This window comes from Homo sapiens, chromosome 11 (assembly GCF_000001405.40).
Source record: "Homo sapiens chromosome 11, GRCh38.p14 Primary Assembly".
NCBI classification, from domain to species: domain Eukaryota; kingdom Metazoa; phylum Chordata; class Mammalia; order Primates; family Hominidae; genus Homo; species Homo sapiens.
The window spans coordinates 32,581,859-32,607,599 of NC_000011.10; the positions used below are offsets into that span (position 1 = coordinate 32,581,859).

General features: G+C 38.4%; 2 protein-coding genes and 1 pseudogene across 6 annotated transcripts in view, besides 4 other annotated features; 1 reads left to right on the forward strand and 2 right to left on the reverse strand.

The window, feature by feature from the left end:
* Positions 1,684–2,336: an enhancer, noted in NCBI's record as "H3K27ac hESC enhancer chr11:32605088-32605740 (GRCh37/hg19 assembly coordinates)". NCBI's record gives its function as "activates a minimal SCP1, AML or CMV promoter by ChIP-STARR-seq in naive and primed H9 embryonic stem cells {active_cell/tissue: H9 hESC(naive and primed)}" and the evidence as "EXISTENCE:reporter gene assay evidence [ECO:0000049][PMID:30033119]".
* Positions 1,759–1,818: a silencer, noted in NCBI's record as "silent region_3222". NCBI's record gives its function as "represses an Ori minimal core promoter by ATAC-STARR-seq in GM12878 lymphoblastoid cells {active_cell/tissue: GM12878}" and the evidence as "EXISTENCE:reporter gene assay evidence [ECO:0000049][PMID:35858748]".
* Positions 1,973–24,406, forward strand: EIF3M (eukaryotic translation initiation factor 3 subunit M). 2 transcript variants are annotated; one of them, NM_006360.6, is made up of 11 exons: positions 1,973–2,071; positions 5,154–5,286; positions 6,736–6,874; positions 7,154–7,277; positions 7,689–7,783; positions 12,008–12,091; positions 13,056–13,155; positions 14,108–14,189; positions 18,831–18,974; positions 19,904–19,964; positions 20,421–24,406. In NM_006360.6, exons 1-11 carry the CDS (start codon positions 2,030–2,032, stop codon positions 20,539–20,541), a joined length of 1,125 nt encoding a protein of 374 aa, NP_006351.2. In that variant the 5' UTR covers positions 1,973–2,029; the 3' UTR covers positions 20,542–24,406. The 2 variants fall into 2 exon arrangements, with proteins under 2 accessions (NP_006351.2, NP_001294858.1); NM_001307929.2 differs by lacking the exons at positions 5,154–5,286; positions 6,736–6,874; positions 7,154–7,277.
* Positions 1,979–2,128: an enhancer, noted in NCBI's record as "active region_4565". NCBI's record gives its function as "activates an Ori minimal core promoter by ATAC-STARR-seq in GM12878 lymphoblastoid cells {active_cell/tissue: GM12878}" and the evidence as "EXISTENCE:reporter gene assay evidence [ECO:0000049][PMID:35858748]".
* Positions 4,849–4,948: a silencer, noted in NCBI's record as "silent region_3223". NCBI's record gives its function as "represses an Ori minimal core promoter by ATAC-STARR-seq in GM12878 lymphoblastoid cells {active_cell/tissue: GM12878}" and the evidence as "EXISTENCE:reporter gene assay evidence [ECO:0000049][PMID:35858748]".
* Positions 9,913–10,908, reverse strand: HNRNPA3P9 (heterogeneous nuclear ribonucleoprotein A3 pseudogene 9; annotated as a pseudogene).
* The window catches only part of CCDC73 (coiled-coil domain containing 73), a 227,865-nt gene continuing 222,986 nt past the window's right edge, over positions 20,863–25,741 (reverse strand). For all 4 annotated transcript variants that reach the window (XM_047427029.1, NM_001008391.4, XM_047427030.1 and 1 more), the window contains one exon: positions 20,863–21,162. In XM_047427029.1, coding sequence (XP_047282985.1) covers positions 20,953–21,162 — 210 coding nt within the window. In that variant the 3' untranslated portion in view covers positions 20,863–20,952. The remainder of the gene's footprint in view (positions 21,163–25,741) is intronic.

A 25,741-nucleotide genomic window follows, 5' to 3' on the forward strand; every position in this document is an offset into this window, starting at 1 on the left:
AAATTTAGTCTAGCCAGATGTTTTGTGTCCTCTATCCCCTCAACCTTGTTTTTTTCCTTTGCTTGGCATTTATTTTATATTGAAGTATAATTGTGGTATCAATAAACTGCACATTTTTGAACTGCACACTTTGAAAAATGTTATATATGTATACAATCATGACACAATCACAGTCAAAATAATGAACACATCCATAACCCCCAAAAACTTCCTCAAGCCCCTCTGTATCCATCTTTCCCCCCGCCTTACCCAATCCCTGCCCCCAGGCAACAGCAATCTATAATGCTGTCATTATAGTTTCTACTTTCTAGAGTTTTATATAAATGGAATCATACAGTATGATGATTAACTGAACAAAATTATTTTGAATTATTTTGGGATTGTCAACTAAAGAAAAAAAATCAAGCTTTTATTTTAAGAGATGGAGTCTCACTCACTTTGTCACCCAGGCTGAAGAGACTGAAAAAAAAAAAAGATTCATCTGTGTTTTTGCATGTATCAATAATTCATCCTTTTTTGTTGCACAGCAGTATTCCATTAAGCAGATGTATAACAATTTTTTGATCCACTTCATTCATCTATTGATGAACATTTGGGTTGTTTCCTTTTTTTTGGCTATTGAAAATAAAGTGTTAACTTTTTGGAAACTGTCTCCTGAAAAAGCTAAACATAAATTTACTAAATAAGCCACTGATTCCTCTCATAGGTACATACCTAAGAGAAATATACGTACACACAAAATCTTGTGCACTAACGTTCATGGAAACATTATTCATAATAGCCAAAAAATGGAGACAACCCAAGTGTCCACCAACTGATGAACAAATCAACACAATGTGGTATATCCATAACAATGCAATATTATAAGCAATAAATAGGAATATAGGAGGGATACATGGACGAACCTTGAAAACATTATGCTAAATGAAGTAAGTCTGACTTAGGCCACCGTGTATTTTGTGATTCCACTTACATGAAATGTCCAGAAAAGGCAAATTCATAGAGACAAAATGTAGTGTTTGCCAGGGGCTGGAGAGAGGTGGGGCCGGGGGTCTGGGGAGTGATTGCTGATGGGTAGTTTCTTTTGTAGGTGATGAAAATGTTCTAAAATTAAATAGTAGTGATGGTTGTGCAACTCTGAAAATACTAAAAACTACTGAATTGTGTATTTATTTTATGAGACGGAGTCTCGCTCTGTCGCCCAGGCTGGAATGCAGTGGCATGATCTGGGCTTACTGCAACCTCCTTCTCCCAGGTTGAAGTGATTCTCCTGCCTCAGCCTCCCGAGTAGCTGGGATTACAGGCGCGCACCACTATGCCCCGGTAATTTTTGTATTTTTAGTAGAGACGGGGTTTTGCCATGTTGCCCAGGCTGGTCTCCAGTTCCTGACCCCAAGTGATCCGCCCACCTCGGCCTCCCACAGTGCTGGGATTACAGGCGTGAGATCCACTGCGCCCAGCCAAAGCTGCTATTTTTTAAAAGCGGCAATGAACATTCTTGTACAAGTCTTTGTACGGACATACAGTTTGGGTAGAAGAATAGCTGGGTCATATGCTGGGTGGATACTGAACTTTTTCAGAAACTGCCGCTCCTCTGCAAAGTGACTGCACCATTTTATGTTCCCAACAGCAGTACAGGAGAGTTTCAGGTCTACACAAACCCATCCATACTTGGTAAGACCCAACAAGCTTAACATTTCAAGGGAAGGTGGACTTAGGGAGGCGCCAGCGGGAGGCAACATCAATGCAGTTAGCTACACGGGCCTGAAAACTGGAGGCCGCGACAAGCGTCGCTGAGTGGAGGCCCAGTAAGTCCCACCCACTAGGCCAGCCCGAGCGCGTCTGCCACGCCCTGCTGCATTCCGCGGCGAGAGCGCGCGATAGGATTGGCTCTCAAGGCCCCGCCCCAACAGGTCGCCGCTCAGGGTGACCCGGAAGCAGTTGCGCCAGCAGCGTCGCGCGGCCCAGTTCCCTTTTCCGGTCGGCGTGGTCTTGCGAGTGGAGTGTCCGCTGTGCCCGGGCCTGCACCATGAGCGTCCCGGCCTTCATCGACATCAGTGAAGAAGATCAGGTGTGCTTCGGTCTACGGGTGCCGCCACGGTGGGGTGGGGGATGTCCTAGTAGCGCAAGGGACCGCTGCCGAGCCTGGGCCGGGCGGCCGGGGCTGACACCCGCAGCTGTTCTACACGCGAGAATGGGGAGGCCGGTGGCTGGGGCGCGCGTTCCTGGCCTCGATTCGCACCAGCTCGCCGGCCGGCGGTCCCAGCGCGGGGCCCGACGCTTCACCGCCAGCTCCCTGGTCGGCGTCGGGACTCATTTCTGACGACATAGTACTTTTAGACTGATGAGGAATGATGTCTGCTTCCGTCCGTCAAATGCAGCCACATTCGGAGTGGGAGGTGGTGAATCTGTAGTTAGCATAAGCAGGGTAGGGAAAAGTAATTTTGTGCTAAAGATCAAAATGCCGGGCCGGGCGCGGTGGCTCACGCCTTTAATCCCAGCACTTTGGGACGCCGAGGCGGGCAGATCACGAGGTCAGGAGATCGAGACCATCCTGGCTAACACGGTGAAACCCTGTCTCTATTAAAAATACAAAAAAATTACCCGGGCGCGGTGGCACGCGCCTGTAGTCCCAGCTACTGCCGAGGCTGAGGCAAGAGAATCGCTTGAACCCGCGAGGCGGAGTTTGCAGTGAGCCAAGATCGCGCCACTGCACTCCAGCCTGGGCGACAGAGCGAGAGTCCCTCTCAAAAAAAAAAAAAAAAAAAAAGATCAAAACGCCCGTATTACTGTGCGATCACAGGCGAAGACGACCCGTATTTTACACTTGCTTTCTATTCCTACTTGTATGAGGGTGAGAGTTGTTCTGTACCCCGGAAGTATGGTATCAGTTCAGCTCTTAAATTCTGTGAGGCATACACCTGATGGACCATCCTGATATTTTTAAATTTCCCGTTTGGCGTTTGCTCTTTGGTATACAGGGCTGATGGTTCTCATTTTCCCCATAACAAAAGTTTAACCTTATTTGGTAGGAGTTGAACACGACATCGTATTCTTTAAGTTAATTTTGTATTGCTGAAAATTCTTCTGTGAAGTCCTAACTTTGTCGTTTTATTTCTGTTACTCCACTAACACGGAAGTAACTTCCAAATGATTGGATATCATAAACTTCGCATGGAAGTTTACTTGTCTAAGACAACTTACAGAATTGCGGGAGTGAGTTCCCCCTCTCTCCTCCCCCCGCCCCATGGTAGGAATGCAGTTCCGATGCTCTGAAGAGCAAAGTAAGAAGGGAAAATGCAAAAGGCGGAGAAAAGGTCAAGGATGGGGAGGTTAAGCACAGATAGGAAGATATGAAAGACAAAAAGATACCTGATTAGAAATGGAAGCATGTTACCAACAGTTGGCTGTTAGGTTAACTGAGAAAGTGTTTGGAATTTTTTTTTTTTTAACATACAAAGTGAATGGAGGAAGTTCTTGTCATTGATCGTATCTTAAAGTGTCTTTTCTCAGGCTCTGCTTCTGTTCTTGTAACATCAGTATCGCTGTAGACAGTCCTTTCAGGGAAATATGAAATTGCTCAGGATTAGTTTAACTTTGGTGAAATTCTCAGCTTGATTAGAGTTAAATGGAATTCTTTATCTTTTTTTGTTTTCCTTTGCTTATGCTGCTTCCACAACCACTTGTGGCAGTGAGGATGACAGAAAAACAGCAAACGTGGTTCAATAGTTCTTAGAAAAAGTTTGCTGTGTATCTGTTTCCTCCATAGAGAAGCATGAAGCATGATTTCTGGAGGTATTTTTGTTTTCTCTGACATGGTGACAGTTTGTTTTCTTTTTTTAATTTTGCTTATAATACCAACTCTTCTATGAAGTTACTGTGTTCTTGTTACCTGAAAGGATAGTACCGTCAGATCTGCAGGTTTAATACTTTCCTGAGGCAACTAAATATACTTGGGGGTTTAAAAATCTTGATGGCTTTGAATTTTTTTTTTTTGGCTTGGTCTAGAAAATGTAATGCCTGTGCATTTACTAATGGTATCCTTTCATATTCCTGTTGCACATCCTCATTTTATTATCTTTAAAACCAGGCTGAGCACGGTGGCTCACGCCTATAATCTTAGCACTTTGGGAGGCCGAGGCCCGTGGATCACCGGAGGTCAGGTGTTTGAGACCAGCCTGACGAACATGATGAAACCCTGCCTCTACTAAAAATACAAAATTAGCTGGGCATGGTGGCGCATGCCTGTAATCCCTGCTACTTGGGAGGCTGAGGCTGGAGAATCATTTGAACCCCGGAGGCAGAGGTTGCAGTGAGCCGGGATCGCTCCATTGCACTCATGCTATTGCACTCCAGCCTGGGCAATAAGAGTGAAACTCCATCTCAAAACAAAACAAAAAAAAACTGCGTTTGTTTGGCTGCCATAAAGAGTCCCAGAAGAAAAATGGAATAAATATATATAATTCGGTAGTAGGGTAGGAAATGTCCAAGTGACTGAATGTGCTATTGTAGTTGTGTTTTTATAGGTCCGAAGATGCATGCTGACTCAGATATGCATTTTTAATTTTAAGAGATTAGTTACATAACAGATCCAGTTCGATGTAATTTTAAGGCAGCATTCACCGCATTGCCCTTTTGTGAACCAAAATGCTTATCTCAAATAGCTTCTCAACTGATTAACAAATGATTACCCTTTTGCCAAGGTAATGTCTGTAACTTTTCTAGTAGCTGTGGTTATGTGTGTACTTGAGAGCAATACTATTGTTCATTTCTTTCAAAAAAATGAAATCTGCCAAGTCAGATTGATTTCTTCTCCCCAGCAACCACACCCCCACCAAACCCTTTGGGTTATATTATCAAAAAGATTTTTGCTGTATGCTGGAAGTCCAGCAGGGTGCAGACTACATGAGAGAAATTCTGAAGGTGATCCATGGGGGCTGTAGTGTGTCTAAGGAGCCACTGGACCTCATGGAGGAAAACCTGTGGCTCTTGTGGGATTGCCAAGATGGATGAGGTGAGGGAGGGGTCTTCAACATTATTTGAAATAGTTGTTGAATACAGTATTTCCGTTTTAGTTTTTCAGAAAGAGGACAGAATTTGAGATTGTGCTTTGTCATTCGTAGTCAGTTTTATAATAGAGCAATCCTCAACAGGCTGCTGAGCTTCGTGCTTATCTGAAATCTAAAGGAGCTGAGATTTCAGAAGAGAACTCGGAAGGTGGACTTCATGTTGATTTAGCTCAAATTATTGAAGCCTGTGATGTGTGTCTGAAGGAGGATGATAAAGGTTTGTTTTTAATTTTTTTCTAATATTTCCTAATAAAATCTTTTAAATTTTTCTTGTGAATTATAGAGTCGTCCCTCATTATCTGAGGCAAGGAGGATTTGGAACCCTCAGATACAGAAGGCTGACTGTATTTATATGTTTTGAATTTCAGACTACAGGACTTTTAAATAGATAGGTAGTGGTTGTATGTATTTTGGGGGCACAGGTGATATTTTGATACATGTATGCAATGTGTAATTATCAAATCAGGGTAATTGGAATATCACACATCTTTTCTTTATGTTGGAAACATTCAACAGTTCTCTTCTAGCTCTTTCAACTATACAATACATTGTTAACCAGAGTCTAAGCACTGTTGTTTTCAATCTTACCTTCACACATGCTTTCAGTTTGTGTAATCTATTATACCTATAAAGTAAACCTATTTTGAGAAAACCTTTATTTTATACATAGGTGTATTTCTTAAGTGTTATTACACTAAATGCTTATAGTCTTAGAATAAAATGAAAAAAATGAAGCTCTTTCCTGTTCATAAGTTTCAGATTAACATCAAATGGGATACAGTTTCAAGTAATCTAATAGCCATTTAATTATTAGGCCAGTTTCCTGTTTATTGAGATAGAATGGGAAATTTTCAGAATTGTTGAGTTCGGAAATCTCTAGTTAAGGTTTAGAGATCAAACTTGGATGCTGATTTCGGCAGCACATATACAAAAAAATTAGATTAAATTTGGGATATGATTAATATCTGTAATACTTAAAAATAACTAATTCAAGCAGAGAGCTGACAGCTTTAATTTCTGATTTCCTATATGTATACACAAAGTTTTCCTTAATTAAGAAAGTATCCTAGTCCTAAATCATACCAGTAACTTCCAAATGATTGAATATCATGACAGTGAAAATTGAAACTTTATATACATGTAAATCAGTCTCTGTTTTACTAGTTAGAAACCACATCATAGGCCAGGCATAGTGGCTCACGCCTGTAATCCCAGCACTTTGGGAGGCCGAGGCAGGTGGATCACATGGTCAAGAGTTCAAGACCAGCCTGGCCAATATGGTGAAACCCCGTCTCTACTAAAAATACAAAAATTAGCCGGGCGTGGTGGCGGGTGCCTGTAGTCCCAGCTACTTGGGAGGCTGAGACGGGAGAATCGCTTGAACCTGGGAGGCGGAGGTTGCAGTGAGCCGAGATCGCACCACTGCACCCCAGCCTGGGCAAGAGAGCAAGACTTCATCTGAAAAAAAAAAAAAAAAAAAAAAAGAAACCACATCTTAGGTATCAATTTCCTTCCTCTTTAATAAAATATACAAGTTGCTTTCTGAATGCGAAAGTGTCTTACATTTGATGGTCTTCATTGTATTAAAACACTGGAAATGCATATTTAACTAGACGCATTGAGTATTGTAGTATCACTGTTGATTGTGTTATCCATACTTGTGTAGATGTTGAAAGTGTGATGAACAGTGTGGTATCCCTACTCTTGATCCTGGAACCAGACAAGCAAGAAGCTTTGATTGAAAGCCTATGTGAAAAGCTGGTCAAATTTCGCGAAGGTGAACGCCCGTCTCTGAGACTGCAGTTGTAAGTTAAGATCTGAAAGAAACTCAGTTTTTCTAGGTGCTTTTTTCATGTTACTAACTTTTAATGGTGCAGAGCAGGAATTCTGGAACTTGACTCTCAGCTGTGGCTCATATTAGCTGTGACCTTGGGCAAGTGGCTTGACCTTTCTGTGCCCTAGTTTCCTCCTTTGTAATATGAAGTTGTTAACGGTACCTGCCACAGGTTTGTGGTGAGAGCTAACCTCAACTTAAAACTGGTTGCTGATTTCAAACATTGTTTATTTGTTTGTTAACCAACCAGGTTAAGCAACCTTTTCCACGGGATGGATAAGAATACTCCTGTAAGATACACAGTGTATTGCAGCCTTATTAAAGTGGCAGCATCTTGTGGGGCCATCCAGTACATCCCAACTGAGCTGGATCAAGTGAGTTACTGTGTGGAATAGTTGTTCTGCTTATAAGAAATGTACTTTTTTTTTTTTTGAGACGGAGTTTCACTGTTGTTGCCCAGGCTGGAGTGCAATGGCGCAATCTCAGCTCACCGCAACCTCCGCCTCCAGGGTTCAAGCAGTTCTCCTTCCTCTGCCTCCTGAGCAGCTGGGATTACAGGCATGCGCCACCACGCCCGGCTAATGTTGTATTTTTAGTAGAGACGGGGTTTCTCTATGTTGGTCAGGCTGGTCTCGAACTCCCGACTTCAGTTGATCCTCCTGCCTTGGCCTCCCAAAGTGCTGGGGATTATAGGCGTGAGCCACCACGCCCAGCCAGAAATGTACTTTTATATGTTATACTTTATATGTGTTACTCAGTTTTCTCCTTTTGTCAATCTCTTGTAGGTTAGAAAATGGATTTCTGACTGGAATCTCACCACTGAAAAAAAGCACACCCTTTTAAGACTACTTTATGAGGCACTTGTGGATTGTAAGAAGAGGTATTCAAAAGTAATGAACTAACATATCACTTAACAGACAGTATAAGTAGGTGGGGATGTTTTTTAAAGAGAAGTAGGGCCAGTAATTTTGCTTTACTCTGTTCTCCACAGAGTTGCTATAAATCTATTTCTATAAATTTGACCTAAAGTTAAAGATAACTATAAAGATTAAAAGTAGTTTTCCCTCATCTTTGAACTTTTTAAAAAGTGAAATTTGGCTTTTTTTCTAAAAAAAGAAAGGTGGGGCCTTTCCAACATGGGCTTCAACCTACTGCTGTAGCATGAGCTTGGTGAATGTGGTGAAGCATCTCATCATTTTTGGATGGTGCAGTGGCAGACTACAAAAAACTTTGTGTTAATGTAAATATTCCATCTCTCCACCCATGTCCTTCCTCTTGCTTATCACACTCTAGACCCAGCGAGCCTATGTCAGGTATAAAAGCACCATGCTCTTTGCCAGTCTGGACCAGGAGCTGGCACTGGTTCTTCTATAGCCCGTGTACTAAGAATGGTTTTAACATTTTTAAATGATTGAGAAAGAAAATCAAAGAAAGGGTAATATTTCATGATATGTGGACATTATATGAAATTCAGATTTCAGGGTCCATAACATTGGTATTACATCCATGCCTATTCATTTACATATTGTCTGTGCCTGCTTTTGCCAAGAGTTTAGTTACAACAGATACCATATAGCTTGCAAAGCTTAAAATATTTACTCTCTGGCCCTTTATAGAACGTTTGCCTACCCCTTGTCTAAGTAGTCTTACTATAGTCAGCTTCATGTCTCTGCCAGAAACACCCCTCTCATATTTCGGTTAGTGCCTCCCTTTTACAGCACCCTCTACTTGTATCCTAGCATTTAACACCCTTAGTTGAAAGTAAGGTTGTAGGCTAAGTGAAGGCAAGGAACCTCATCTGTAAACCATTGCATTCCCAAGAAGATAGCACTTATTGGGCACTGAGTGGATAAATGCTACCCACAGTAGGGAACTGGAAGGGGATACTTGTTTAAACACGACATTTCTGACATTCTGCCAATCTAAATGTTGAGAGTTGGTTTTCTTCTTTAGAACACATAAAATACATATTTTAATCAGTAAAATTCTGAGATTTTACCTAGCAGTTAAGTAAAAATGCTTCAAGTTTATGGGTGCCCCCTTCATGACTTTATTTATATTGGTGGTTGATGCACATGGTGTTTGTTGTGCTTTTTTTTTTTTATTTGAGATGGAGTCTTGCTCTGTCGCCCAGGCTGGAGTGCAGTGGCGCAATCTCAGCTCACTGCGAGCTCCACCTCCCGGGTTCATGCCATTCTCCTGCCTCAGCCTCCTGAGCAGCTGGGACCACAGTTGCCGCCGCCACGCCCGGCTAATTTTTTGTATTTTTAGTAGAGACAGAATTTCACCGTGTTAGTCAGGATGGTCTTGATCTCCTGACCCTGTGATCCTCCCGCCTCCGCCTCCCAAAGTGCTGGGATTACAGGCGTGAGCCACCGCACCAGGCCTGTTGTGCATTTTAAAGGGTGTTACTGGTAACTAAGCCCTTACATGTCAGACACCATGCTGTGTGCTTCAAGTGGATTAAAAAGATTTCTTTAGCTGAGAAGGTTGAAGTATACTGTAGTTGCTAAAACTGGAAAATGACTTGCACCTGTGCTTACAGTGTGGCACAAGATAACTAATGAGTAAGATGTGGTTTTTTAAAAGTTTTTCTTTGAATTTTTATAGTTAAGTCATTATACTTTTTAATTTTAATTTTTATTGCAAAGTTAAAAATTCCTTAGTTTTTTATTCCTGGTACCACTACACTACCATAATTTACAGGGTAACATGCCTGATGTAATGAAAAGAAAAAGGCAAAGGTACAACAGATAAAAGACCTCAGGAATGTACATCTAATTGACACTACACTGCATTAATCAATAGTGCACTTTTTGCAACCTGTAGCTATGACAGTCCTGAACAAGAAGGCTTTCCTGTTTAAGCTGCAGTAACTTTTCTGACTGTGGATCATCATTCCTCTGTGGCAGATTTTTACAGTTCCTCTAATGCATTTGGATGATTGCCTCAAAGTAACTTGCAGCTTTTCTGACTTCTCCTTGCTTGCACTCCTGCCAAAAACTGTAGCCCTTTTCTGCTGTTTTTAGAACCTTGTGCTACCATATTTACCACCATAGAGACTGCCCAAGCTTTATCCACCAAAACTGCCCCCTTTCATGCATGGGTCCATAATTTGGTTGTCATTGTCCACTGTAATATCCAAAATCATTATAGTTCCCACCACCACCGTAATTACCACTCCCCAAATTACCTTCTTCATTGTAACCATCATATCCTCCACTGCTGCCACCATATCTACCACCACCATACCCGCCTCTACTATCAAAACCAGGACAACTGCGGTAGTTGCCACCATCACCTTCAAATCCATTATATCCAGCAACCCCTCCTCCATAACTACTTCTGCTGCCACCACCCCAGCACCATATCCTCCTCTTCCACCAGAGTTTCTACCCATGGCCAAAACTACCATCTCCAAAGTTTCCTCCACAACCCATAAAGTTGCTAGATCCACTCCACAACTGCATCTGTTGTTTAAAAAGGGCCCTTTTCACTTCACTAACGCCTGTTAATAGAGTGTTATTTCTGAACCACAATTTTATCATGATCATCAAAAGTTACAAAAGCAAATCCTCTCTTTTTTCCACTCTGCCAGTCCTCCTGTAACTTCTGTGGTTTCAATCTTGCGATACTTTTCAAAGTAGTCTCTCAAATTATGTTCTTCTGTATCTTCTTTAACATCACCAACAAAAATTTTCTTCACTGTTGGATGGGCACTGGGCTTTACAGAACTCTCTCTAGAAACAGCTGTCTTTGGTTCCATTGCACTCCTCAGCCTTGTGTGGTTGAGCACACATTGCTGCATCCACCTCTTCAACACAAGAGTAAGTCACAAAACCAGAGTTTGTGGAACATTTTGTTTGGGGGTCTCTGATTACCACACAACCTGTGAGTGTGCTCCATTTCTTAAAATGTTCTCTAAAACTACCATCTCTAGTTTCAAAGCTCAGACCACCAATAAACAGTTTTTTTTAGCTGCTCTGGCTCCTTTGGATCATGGCCTCTTCCAGGTTGAGTTCAGTATTAATTTTTTATTTTTAGAGACAGGGTCTGACCATGTTGCCCACACTGGAGTACAGTGGGTATTTGGCTGTTCACAGGTGCAATTGTAGTGCATTACAGCCTTGAATTCCTGGGCTCAAGCAAGCCTCCTTAGTAGGTGGGACTATTGGCATGCGCCACTGTGCCTAGGCATTTATATCACTACATTTAAGATGCGGGTTACCACTTAGCCATGCCTACAGTGGTATTTCTGAATCTTAGTAAACCTTAGTTTTGAAAGAAGTTTTAGATAGCATTTACCATTTTAAAATAAATGATACAGTTCCTGCTGATTTTGCCCAGGCTAAACTCAGATGTGGGGAGTAAGTATTTTTAGAAAATGAAAAAAGGAAAAGAAAAACCTCTTCCTCCTAGTTAGCAAAGCTTTCTATAAGCTGAAGATTCCACAGTTTAAAGAAGTCATGAGGAGTAAAGATAAACATTTTCTAAAAGTCCAGTTTGAATGACTGCATTTATTTATTTTGCCCTATTTACTCCAGTGAAACTGATGTATATAACTGTAAGAATAATTTAATTGGAAGGGTATCTTAAGTAGAGTTATTTAAATATTTGGTATTGTCTCAACTTCAGCCATACTGTCCTAACAGTTTCTGGGACACAAAACTTTTTTTGCGCCTAGGGCCTTTATACTTGGTTTTCCCTCTGCTTGGAAAGTCATCTTACCCCACCTTTCATGAACCCAGCTCTTTTCATGGCCAAGAAAAGGATATTTTACATCATTTTGGTCTCAGCTTACTTGCCATCTCTTCTGAGGGAGACTGCTTTCCCACTGTACATAAAGCGGCCTTTCCGTTTTCTGCCCTTGTTGCTTTGATTAAATCACCATTTATTTCCTTCATAGCACTTATTAGTTACTTTTCCTTAGTTGTCCATCTTTCCTACTAAAAGGAAGGTTTTATGACTTTTCCCATAGACAGGGACTTTGTCTCTCTTAGTCACCGTTATAATGTCATCAGCACAGTACCTGCCTCTTAAAAATATTTTAAATGAATGAATAGCAGTAATGCTTTCAAGTTCCTAAAGCAATATTTCTTTTTAGTGATGCTGCTTCAAAAGTCATGGTGGAATTGCTCGGAAGTTACACAGAGGACAATGCTTCCCAGGCTCGAGTTGATGCCCACAGGTAATGTTAAACGTTACTCTGATGAGGGTTTGACAGCGATGTAGAGGTAAGCTACAATATTAAATTAAGTAACTGAAATCATGTTTGCAACTACCAGTGATCCAGAGCCATTTGATAGTGTGTATTTCCTGGTGATTCTAATGTAGATACTAAAATTCAAGGTTTGATATTGGAAGAACTGTGGATTGAATATGAAGTAGCTGCATGGCGTTTACCTGGCGGGGGGGGTATTGCTGGTATGGGGATGATGATCCCAACCCAAGAATTAGAACCTAATCTTGGGCCAATTGACCCTAATTTTAAGGTTATAGGTGGAAAGTTGATGGCTTGCCAAAAATTAACCCATTGCTAATGAGTATAAGGGCTTTTAACAGTCTTAGATCTAACTGGTAACAAGAATAGAATCAGTTTTCTAAATCTATGTAATAAGGATTATGAAACTTCTTTTTTTGGTCATTGCTTTGTGTGGACCTCTACATGATAGGAGTTGGTAAAAAGGGAAGTTGGTGGTAAAGATCCTTGACTTTGAGGTCAGGCTGCCTCCATTCACATTCTTACTCCACCTCTTAATGAGCACTTCTGAACTGCTTCATAGTTGATAAAGGGGGCAGAGTAATACTGTTTGTCTCCTAGGTTGTTGTGAGGAATAAATGAGATGTAAGGCAAGTGAAGCACTTAGTGTCTTGGCATGTGGTTCTGCTGCTGCTTACTATTTGATTACCTTGGTGCTTTCTCTCCAGCTATGTTTTTATCTACAATTAATATATTTCATTTTGTTAAAACAGATGAACCTGATAAATGTGTTGGCCTGTCTTAACCCAATCCTGTAGCTTTTTTAATGTTGTTTATATGTTTTGGACTGTTAGATATTTTGCCGAATTAAGTATATTTTATGATCTGCAAAAACTCAATGAAAAGCCAGGATTTCAAAACCCTGAGCTTACATTTTTGTTCTCTAATTAAGGTGTATTGTACGAGCATTGAAAGATCCAAATGCATTTCTTTTTGACCACCTTCTTACTTTAAAACCAGTCAAGTTTTTGGAAGGCGAGCTTATTCATGATGTAAGTAGTTTATCCTTTAATGTGAAAAATGTTCTCCTTTCCTAAATTTTACATACTGAAGCAGGACTCTTTTTCTTTGCATTAATAAAAGTGACTAATGGCAAGATATGGAAAGATTAAGAACTATGTATTCTTTTTATATCAGGAACAGACATATTTAGGACCAGCTTTTCTTCATCCACTGAGCAGAGTCCTATTCTTCCTCCCTTTCTTAATTTCTTTTTTTTTTTTGAGACTGAGTCTCACTCTGTCACCAGGCTGGAGTGCGGTGGCATGATCTTGGCTCACTGCAACCTCTGCCTCCCTGATTTAAGCAATTCTCCTGCCTCAGCTTCCAGGAGAAGTAGCTGGGATTACAGGCACATGCCATCAGGCCCAGCTAATTTTTGTATTTTTAGTAGATACAGAGTTTTGCCATGTTGGTCTGGTCTCCGACTCCTGACCCCCCTGACCCCAAATGATCTGCCCACTTCGGCCTCCCAGAGTGCTGGGATTACAGGCGTGAGCCACTGTGCCCGGCTACCTCCCTTTCTTTCATCTTCTCACTTACTCATCATTATAGACTTAGATAATACAAGTTTCTTTTTTATTACATATATATTGTTCCTAGCCCCACTTAGGAATATAAGTCTGATATTTAAAAACACATGAACATTTTTCAAATGCAAGTATAAATATATTTTGGACTGTTGTGCATCTGGACTATGCCATTAGCCATCATCTTTCAGTGTGGATAATTTAGAGCTCAGTGTATTTACTGATTATTTCATTTTAAAAGTGAGCCATGTGAAAGCAGATGGTTTGGTAATTTGATGAAACAGAATGATATTTCTGCCTTGAACAAAATGTAGGAGTCAGTATCTTTAAAATAATATTTACAATATCTTAGAATATCTTACAATAAATCTGAATTCTGTATTGATGGTATCTTTTTTGTCTCTTATCTGTATAGCTTTTAACCATTTTTGTGAGTGCTAAATTGGCATCATATGTCAAGTTTTATCAGAATAATAAAGACTTCATTGATTCACTTGGTAAGTTTTGGGGTTTATTCTTTGAGGCACAGAGGTGGGAACATGATACACTAACAGTTATGTACTATGTGTTCCAGCAAGTATGGCTGTGGCCTTATTTGTAGATTATCCTAAAAGGAGTCGTGTATGATAGAACAGCACAAAAATAGGTAGACAGTTTAAAATATTACTTAGAATGAATTGAGAATCAGAAACCAAGAAGGTGTAGGAGGTGGCATTTGTGATAGAAAGAGAATGAAACTGGGAGTATGAAAACAACTCGGGGCCCAGCGCGGTGGCTTAGAGGTATAATCCCAGCACTTTGGAGGCCGAGGCGGGCGGATCACGAGGTCAGGAGGTCGAGACCATCTTGGCTGACTAACATGGTGAAACCCTGTCTCTACTAAAAATACAAAAAATTAGCCGGGCGCGGTGGCGGGTGCCCGTAGTCCCAGCTACTTGAGAGGCTGAGGCAGGAGAATAGCTTGAACCCGGGAGATGGAGGCGGAGGTTGCAGTGAGCCAAGACTGTGCCACTGCACTCCAGCCTCGGCAACAGAGCAAGAGTCTGTCTCAAAAAAAAAAAAAAAAAAAAGAAAGAAAAGAAAACAACTTAGCACTTGTAATCCCAGCACTTTGGGAGGATGAGGTGGGTGGATCACTTGAGGTCAGGAGTTCAAGACCAGCCTGGCCAACATGGCAAAACCCCATTTCTACTAAAAATACAAAAATTAGTGGGCATGGTGGCACATACCTGTAGTGCCAACTACTCAGGAGCCTTAGGCAAGAGAACCACTTGAACCCGGGAGGCAGAGGTTGCAGTGAGTTCAGATCACACTGCTGCACTCCAGCCTGGATGACAGAGTGAGGCTCCATCTCAAAAAACAAAAAAAAAAGAGAGAGAAAATGACTTGGAACCTTTTTGTCTCATTTAAGAGCTTGCTGAACTTTAGGCCCTTCCAGCTCTTCTGTACCATGATTCTTTGAGGTAAAGTTATATCAACAATCGGGTGTTTGGAGAAGATTGAAGAAATAGTTCCATTGGTACATTTGTTTTTAAAATTTAGAGATGGAGGAGTGAGCAGAAAAGCAACTGAAAGAATTACCATTACTTTGATCATAATGGTAACTTTCAGAAATGTTTTAAGAGCTGATAAAATTTGATGATTAAAGGTACTTTATTAAGCTAAACATTATTCTTAAAATAATATTGTTTCTTTGTAGAAGACTTTATTCCTTAGATATATGGTGATTTGTATTTTTGGTCCCTTTTTTTAAGCCATAGCCACAGAATGGTAACAAATAGTTTTTTCCCCCCTACTATACTATTTTATGCTTGGATACCCCCGCCATTAACAAATTACAAAAGTATATAGTATTGCCAGTTAGATCTGAAAGATGGAATTAGAAATGGAAATGTAATTTTACATGATAGTAAGACTTTTCTAACTACGTTTGTTGAAAACAGCATAGTCTTTATTATTTTTATCTTTGAATTTTCTTGTCTAGCGTATCAGTTCAGTAAATGTTTGTCAAATTGAATCAAATCTTATTCATCCTTATTGAGCAAACCCTACATATGTTCAATATTTTAATTTCCTTCTGGAGCATGTTTTTAACATACTAAAATACAAAGAGAAAACTCAGAAAATCTGCAGTTGAACAGGTTTTAAATGTTGTAAACTACCAGTTTCTTTACACTGGAGTCAACTGTGAAACTAAGGTGCTTTGTTCTCCTACTAGGCAATAATCAAAACACATTAGAGATTGATTATATTTTCCATATTAAGACTGAATTTTTTTTTGTTTTTGAGACTAGTCTTCCTGGTTCTTGACGATACAGATGAATGTATGGTCTATTTTGATAGTCTTCAATTTGGTAATCATTAATGCTTGTCACCTGTAAATTGTGTGCCTCCATTGGAATTGGGGAAGATTGACTTATTCTGAACATAATAAGGCATTTGAAATACACCAAGATAAAGTAGATGTAAGTGTGTTTGTGTAGAAAGCTTTGCCAGGTGCACTAGACCCAGAAAACCACATTCTGTCCCAGTTAATTTGTTTTGTGGCATGAAGCTATGTGATGGAATGTTAATGTCAGCAACCTCTTTATTTACGCACCAAGGAAAAAGGAGTAGTAATTAACACTTTGACACTCCCCCATTGATGTGTAATTGACTGTTTCAAAGGAGCACTGGTTCATAAGCTATTGCATGCATTAAAACTGGGTTTTCTATATTGCAGCATTTTAAGACAGGGGTCAGTGACAATGCAGAAATTGCTCAATGATGCACTTTTTTTATTACTGCATTAAGGTTTTGACATATTAGTAATGAATAAATGTTTCCATAAAATTAGATTTTTTATAACTTTAAAATTGAAATATGACACAGTACACTGTGACTTCCTCTTTGATGGTAGTATTTTAGTTTTATGAAACAAAGCACAGCTTCCTACAAAGTCTTTAACTCATACTTCACTGCCTTAGTAGTTTGATTTTTCAGAACAAGAGTCCTAAGGGTTTTAAGTTTGGTTCTTTGTTACTTTAAACATCAATTTAAAGTGTTTTTAGATGCAAGTTTTCACATGTAAAATAGATAACGGTTTTATGGAATTCAGCCTAGAAATAATCTTCATTCCTCTGATAAGTTTTTTCATTTATGGTAAGATTGTAACTGCAGAAAAGATAAGCAGTAAAATAGATTTAATTTCAGGAGTATTTAAAATAATAGAAATTTCAGAAGTTTCTATCACTTTATATTGAAAGAGAGTTGTCTGTCCATGCCAATAGAACTGAGAATGTTAAGGAATTTTTGAAAAAAATCTTTAATACTTATTCATTGATAAGAAAAAATTCGTTAACATTGCTAATTTATTGTGCCAGCTAGAATTCAAATTCCTTCATTTGCCTTACGTTTCTTGAACATCTATGCAAATCAGTATTCTATTAGAAATTTGTTTATATGCTTTTCAGAAAACATCTTTATATTAATGTGTATATTTTTTATTTTAATTCTATAATTAAACATTTATTACAGCTGAAAGCCTAGTGACAACTATCTAGATTCCACAAGTTGCAATCAGTTTGTCAGAACATTTTCCTTTATTAACACTGACAACTTAGGCCAACAGTAGCATTATCTTGTGTCAACTGAATTGCCCTAACATGTCCACATGTAATCTGGTGTTATCCAGTTGCTACCTTTTGCTTCAGAAAGTTAATCGGCATCTAATTTGCATTGTTAATTAGGGTTAATGTGCACTAATTGATTTCTTGGCGCCTGTAGATTTCCATTAAACCCAGTTAGCAATACTTCCTTGTATACCTCATTCATTTGAGTTATGGTGATCATGTTTTTGTTGAATCTGTGCCAAATAGGAAGCCTGTATCATAATTACAGCTAATTAACAGATGATCATGTCCTATGTTAATGGGCTTCCCTAATCTTCCACTAATATATGAATGTTATAAATTTAAAATTTATTTATGGAGTGTTTAGAGAGTGAACTTTTTAAACAATACAGACTTGAAGCTCTGAATTTATTACAGGGCACTTGATTGATCATTTGCTGATTTTACATAGTTCAAAAGTTCAGAGAAAAGGAACATGTAAATCTAGATTAGTTTTAGAAACTTAGTTTTATAATTAATAAGTTAGCATCAAAACAAGTATATATGATATTATGTTAGAATTCTGCTCCTACTTAGGACTAGGTTATATATTTAGGATTCCTAATTTTTAAAATTTCTAGCCCTTTATTTTAGAAATGAACCTATTCTAGGCCTAGCACTGCTATTTTTTGACTATAAGTCCCCATTTAATCTCTTTGCTCCTCAGTTTTGTTTTTAAAGTGAAAGGATCAGGACTGGGTAATTCCTTAAGTTTTCTTCTAGGCCTAACACATTGTTGTTATTTGAATAATTACAACAGCATGTTTCATTAGAAATTATAATGCAAAATTTGAATTATTTGTGCAATTTTCTACTTTTGTCTTATAAAGAACAAGTATCACTTTTAATGGTATTCTTTAATTATATCTAGTACTAACTGTATTGGCCTATAAATGTTAAATGACACACACACTTTGACAGTTTTGGTTTGTAAGTAGTTTTGATTTTTAAATAGTGACCTGAAGCAAAATGGAATGTTTTCATAACTGAAAATGTTTGTGAAAGTATTTTAAAACTTCAGGTTTACCAGTAATAGTAACACAGAAAAAACTAATAAGTAGATAAGAAATCCTCTGTGTTTAAATGAAGAGCTATTAGTGTGAAAAATAAGCTTAGGTAATTTAACTAAATAGAAATTGTTCTTATGAAATGTACTTTGTAGATTTTATCTCCTAAAATGTATAACTATTTAAAAATGTAAAATGTGCAAAACTTTTAGGGTCTAAAAATAATCATTTTATGGCCGATTCTTAACTTTGAATCTATCACCTATGGTACTATAGAAAAATTGTTTTTAATACTCTGTGGAGTCAGTTTATAGTTTGCAAATATAAGAAGCTTTGTCAAAATTGTTCTATATAAGTGCTCAAACAATAATTTCCACAATTACAAAAGTAAAAATAATTTCCACAGCTTAACATGAGATGTAATTGTGCAGGTCTTTAATTAGTATGAACACTCATCAGGCTTCACTATTCTGTTTTCTAGGCCTGTTACATGAACAGAATATGGCAAAAATGAGACTACTTACTTTTATGGGAATGGCAGTAGAAAATAAGGAAATTTCTTTTGACACAATGCAGCAAGAACTTCAGATTGGAGCTGATGATGTTGAAGCATTTGTTATTGACGGTAAGGCAGACAGAACATTTTCATTTATTTCTAGAATTTCTCATCTACTACATGGATCATAGTAAGATTTTTATCTGGAAACTGAGCCTTACACAACAAAGATTTGTTTATAGCAGATGTGTATTTAGTAGATTAGTGGATATATTTGTTGTAGGGTGAAAATTTAGTAGAAATATAAACTGCTATATTCTATCCCTTGAAATCACGTAGAACAAAGACGTTTAGGCAATACACCACTGTGGTTAAGAGCACAGATTTTAGTATTAGATGTGGATTTAAGACCAGGCCCTTCCTTTGTGAAACAGGAATGTAGGGGTTCATTTGTGGTTGTAAGAATTAAATGAATTAATACAGGTAAAGCACAGTGCCTGGCACATAGTAAGTGATCTTTCAAGTGTTAACCATTACCAGTTTTTTTATGATTAGCCTAGAAACAAGAACTTCTTCCCCAACAATTAGATTATAAAGCAACTTAACTGCTCAGGAATTTTTTCTGAGCTTTTTAAATTTGAAAGTTGGGATTATGCAATTAAGATTAATAAAAGGTACAGAACTATTGACCTTTTTTCCCCTAATGCTCTAAGTTTTCTATGAAGAAGTAATAACTTAGTAGGAAATTAGTTTATTCCCCTATATGAGATGGTAGGGGAAGAACACCTAGCATTCTTTAAAAAAAAAAAAAAAAAAAAAACAGCAAAAAACTGTATGCAGTATTTATTTAATATAGATTGTCCCAGCAGCCATAGGACAAATGCATGACCTTTCTTTTGGTTGCCCCATACTGTTTTGCTTATTAGATTTAAACAGTGTATAATGTTGGAAAACAGTATAAAGTTTTATTATGGCTTACTTGGTCACAGTTTTCATACCTTAGCTATTTTTCTTGGAAATTTTCCATATAACATACGATATAAAACATCTTTTTTCAGCCGTAAGAACTAAAATGGTCTACTGCAAAATTGATCAGACCCAGAGAAAAGTAGTTGTCAGGTAAGATATTTAATGCTTTGCAGCATTTTATAGAACGATTTAGTTTGTTCCGATTATTTCACTTAAATGTTTAGAGAACCAAGGTGGTGTTATCACTTGACTGTAGTTAAATAGTTGCTATTTATCATAATTTTATTAAAGTTCAGACTGAATGTGATTAGCTTATTTAATGAAAGAGTCCTATTTTCCAGCACATTTCATTTAATGGCTGAGCATTGGCTAGAATACTAATGACTTTTATGTCTGCTTTATATAGTTGCTCAGGAGAATTAGAAGGCTTAGGATCAATATGGTAAAGATTTTTTTTAAATAATTATGTAATTCTTAAATTCTCTTACTATTCTAAATTAGGTATATTTAATCTTGCTTTTAACTGGATTCAAATCTGTAGTATTATAAAAGAATACCAGAGGCTAAAAGGTTGACTAACACTGTGTTTAATTTTTCAATTTTTAGTCATAGCACACATCGGACATTTGGAAAACAGCAGTGGCAACAACTGTATGACACACTTAATGCCTGGAAACAAAATCTGAACAAAGTGAAAAACAGCCTTTTGAGTCTTTCTGATACCTGAGTTTTTATGCTTATAATTTTTGTTCTTTGAAAAAAAAGCCCTAAATCATAGTAAAACATTATAAACTAAAAAAATTTGCCTAGTCTGGACAGTTATTGTCTCAAATTTATACTAAAATCACAAACTCCAGAGGATATGAAGTAATAAATTACAAGGGGTCACAATGTCTGTCATACAATACATAAATTCTGTTCTTTAAAAAAGGATATTGAAGAAGCAATGAGCACTTTAAAGAAAGGATAATATACAGAGAGAAGACAGAAGTAGAGTAATACAATTTCTTCACATTAGAAAAACTTGGAAAAGCAAAGACAAACTGTAGAGCTTTAAATACAACAGTCATTTTATTCTAGTAAAAACTATACCAGAATTTCAGTTACATAATTTCACTACTGAAAGCACTTATCTACATTATTTTAATCTGTTGTTTTTTTCCAACGTCTCTTCTGCTTTTCTTTTCTTTGGCTGGTTGTCATTTTCTAAACTTAGTAAATTTTCACTTTTATTTAGTTGATTCGTAATGAGGCTCTGCCAGTCATCATCACCAGAAGTATTTTTAGTCGTCTTGATTGCCTGCAAATGGCTTTGTAGTGGAGTTGATATCAGAGGCTTTGTTTTCACCTGGGAAAGATAAACTAATTTTACCTTCGAAATTATTATACAAAAGATTTTAAAGAGTCTGTAAAGCCTCTGCAGTTATGAGTATGTGGTAAAACCACCATCTCTTGGCTGATTTCCACTACCTTAGTAGTTCTGGCACCAGAAAAGTATACAATGTGAATGTGTAGGCTTATGTAGTAGATCTTCAAAATCTCTAATATATAACTGAAGTAAAGTGTACAAAAACTGCCTTTTACTACTTCATGTTTCCTCCCATGCTTCAGAACACCATTGTTGAAGAAACAGGAAGGGCAGTGAGATATTTGGAAGTTGGCATGTTTTCAAGACACTGTATTGGGTAATTTTAAAAATAGTGTGTTAAATAACTTTTTCATTTTAAGGTTCTTTTCTGATGTTAAAATACTTACTGGAAATTTAGAAAATAGAGTAAAGTAGAAAGAAACTAAAAATCATTAGTAATCCCTTATCCAGAGAGGCTTGTTGACATTTTGGTATTATTTGCTGCTAGCGTTTTTTTCTATTTTTAGCCTATTTGATCATTCTATAGAATTTTATGTATTTTCCTCTGTGAGCAGTTTCTTAGGTCATTAAAAACAATTGTCTATGGCTGCAAAATACTCCCTTTTATGGATGTTTGATATATCTCCTACTACTGAATGTTTGTTTCCAGTTTATCCCTACCAAAAATTAATTCGAGTTAATTTCATGCAAAACAATCTTTGATGTTTTTGAGAGATTCCCAGATAAAATTTTCTCTTCAAAAGGAATACTGGGCCAGGCACTGTGACTCATACCTGTAATCCCAGCACTTTGGGAAACTGAGGCGAGTGGATTGCATGAGCTCAGGAGTCGAAAACTAGCCTGAGCAACATGGCAAAACCCCATCTCTACCAAAAATTAGCTGGGCATGGTGGCATGCAACTGTAGTCCCAGCTCCTCGGAGGGCTGAGGTGCAAGGATCATTTGAGCCCAGGAGGTGAAGGTTGCAATGAGCCAAGATCATGCCATTGCACTCCAGCCTGGACAACAGAGTGAGACCCTCTCTCAAAAATAAATAATAGATAAAACAAAAGGAATACTGAATTGTTTTCAAAATAACAATTATGGTGGGCTTTCTTTTAAGATAGGGTCTCACCCTGTCACCTAGGCTGGAGTGCAGTGGCACAATCACAGCTCATTGCAGCCTTGACCTCCCTGGATTCAGGTGATCCTCCCACCTTCACCTCCTGAGTACCTTGGACTACAGGCATGTGCCACCACACCCAGGTAATTTTTGTATTTTTTGCCATGTTGCCCAGGCTGGTCTCTCTTAACTCTTGGGCTCAAGTGATCTGACCATCTCGGTCTCCCAAAGTTCTAGGATTACAGGAGTGAGCCATACTGTGTTGTGTTTTAGTTGAAAGGGATATACACGTGTATTTTAGAAATATGAAACAGGATAAGAATTACATTAAAATCACCCAAGATCCCAACCACCATTAAAGAGTTTGTGTAAATCTTCTGGTCTCTTTTCTGTATACACTTTTTAAATACTGGGGTCATATTTTTATTGGTTTATATGCTATGTTAAACATTTTTAGCATTTCCTCCTGTTCTTAAGTCTGTTAAGAGGATAGCTCCATCATATTCTGTGTTCTGCAAATTATTTCTGGACATTTAAATTGTAAGAAAATGGTCACTGTTAACTAGGCTGCAGTGATTATCATTTGTTCATAAATCTTTGTGAAGATCTTTGGGTACTGCCTTACATTAAAATCTTTTTCAATTTGACCAGTAAAAGTGGCATGTTAGTAACATTGTCATTTTCAGTGTTAGATTATGTAGTACTAAGTTTATTTTATTTTATTTTTGAGACAGAGTCTTGCACTGTCGCCCAGGCTGGAGTGCAGTGGCGCCATCTCAGCTCACTGCAACCTCCACCTCCCAGGTTCAAGCGATTCTTCTGCCTCAGCCTCCCGAGTAGCTGGGATTACAGGCACCCACCACGATGCCCAGCTAATTTTTTGTATTTTTAGTAGAGACAGGGTTTCACTATGTTGTCCAGGCTGGTCTCGAACGCCTGACCTCATGATCCACCTGCCTCGGCCTCCCAAAGTGTTGGGATTACAGGCATGAGCCACCCTGCCCGACCTAGTAATACTTTTTTTTTTTTTTTTTTTTAATGAACTTAAATGTTTAGAATGGTAAGTTCACGGCTCCCTAAGGAGTGTTCCTTTTGGATTGCTCTGTTTGGCTCCCTCCCTGAAATCCTATAGTCAGCCACTGGTCCCCTCAGAGAGTTTTACCTCTGATCTTTGGGGTGATTCTTTGTTCATATTTATCTGATTGGCTTTGTTCTTCCAAAAGTGTCTGCACAGGACTGCTAAGAGAACCTAGGCAAGTCATTTAATTTTTCTGGGCTTCAGTTTACTCATTAGCTTCTTTTAGTTCCCAGATGCTATTACTGGAAAGAATAACTAGTAATGGATAAAAACCTACATAAATATTTCCTATTTTGCCATCAAAGTGCTGGGTTCATTTTGGTGTATTTGGCATCCAAGTACAAATTAACAGTTTCCCAAAATCCTGATTCTTTGACTTTTTTATCTTGATGATGGAAAGGAAGGACACGTTTACTTGCTTTAGTTTCTTTCCCCTTAACTACCCACTTGCTGAGAGGGGTAGGAGCAGGGATTGGCTTTAGAGAAACAAGATACAGTGTAGATTAGCTAATGTTTGCGCTTAACAAAACTTGTCCTGTTTAACTTACCTGAGGGTTCTGCAGCCTACCGCAGTAATTTTAGTTCTAGCTGTTTTCAGATATATTGCCTTGTATCTTCGTTCTTTCGTCTCCTATCCTTTTTAGAAATTTATCACCTGTTTCTCTTTCAGCCTGACTTACAAAATCTAATTTTTGGCCTAAAAATTTCCCCTAGCTTGGTACTAGTCCTTTTATTTCTGCCTGTGATTATATTTTAAAATTAAACTTAAATGAATCTAATTCATTGGATATATAAAAAAAAAAGTAAGTGGCTTGCTTTGCTTACTCTGGTTTTCCATCCTCATTCCTGGATATAATCAAGATTGCAGTAGGCTAACAATCTAATGCTGAAAACAAGAATGAAAAACATACCATCTTTTCAAGTTACTTTGGACCCATAGAGAGAAAGTGGATTGGTACTTAATACCTTCCCTGAATTTAACAGAATTGATGTGGACTGTACATAAAATATGTTGAAAAATAAAACTATTTTTTTGGCTATAAGTCTTCATAAAATTCATTTATAACAGAGGTTGATAAACTTTTTCCAAAAAGTGCCAGAGTAAATATTTTCAGCTTTGTGGGCCAAATGGCCTCTTACAACTGCTCAATTCTCAGTGCCATGCCAAAACAGCCTTTACAATATGCAAAGGAATGGGTGTGACTGTGGTCTATTAAATTTATAAGGAGATCTACTTTTGAATTTGCCCCACATTACATAATTTGCAATCAAGCTTTAAGCTGGGACAATGAAGCTTACCATAGTACTTGGCACATAGTAATAAGCACTTAGAAAATGTCTATTCAGCCAGTGAATTGAGTTTGTTTTATATGCATCAATCTTTCAGAAGAAACATTTTTTCTATTGTGAAAGTTAAGAAAGTATAATATAGCATTTGACTAAGAGCCACAATATCTAGCCTAGGTCCACCACATATTGTGTCTTAATGACCCTGGAAAGTTATTTCACATTTATGTCACTGTTTCATCTGTAAAAAAAATTACCTTGCCAATGAAAAAGTTAAAAATTCTATAAAAATAAATTCTTTTTTTTTTTTTTTTTTTTTTGAGACACTGTCTCACTCTGTCACCCAGGCTGGAGTGCAGTGGCACAATCGGCTCACTGCAACTTCAGCCTCCCGAGTAGCTGGGACTACAGGTGCCTGCCACCACACCCGGACAGTTTTTGTATTTTTAGTAGAGACCTGGTTTCACCATATTGGCCAGGCTGGTCTCAAACTCCTGACCTTGTGATCCGCCCACCTTGGCCAAAGTGCTGGGATTACAGGCTTGAGCCCACCACGCCCAGCCAAAAATAAATTTTTTTTTTTTTTTTTTTTTTTTTTTTTTGAGACGGAGTCTCGCTCTGTCGCCCAGGCTGGAGTGCAGTGGCGGGATCTCGGCTCACTGCAAGCTCCGCCTCCCGGGTTCACGCCATTCTCCTGCCTCAGCCTCCCAAGTAGCTGGGACTACAGGCGCCCGCCACTACGCCCGGCTAATTTTTTGTATTTTTAGTAGAGACGGGGTTTCACCGTTTTAGCCGGGATGGTCTCGATCTCCTGACCTCGTGATCCGCCCGCCTCGGCCTCCCAAAGTGCTGGGATTACAGGCGTGAGCCACCGCGCCCGGCCCAAAAATAAATTCTTAAAAGCAACATTAGTTGCAGATAGAACATTAGGAATTAGACAAAAAGAACTCCCCTATTAGATTAATTATAAAAATGGGCTTTCAAGTGAGATGTGAAATTTCCACTGTTTGAAAGTAGAACAGCTATCTTATAAGGGTTAAGGATTCACCCTAATTAGAAATGGATGTTTAGCTTTGATGCCCTCAAGCTTC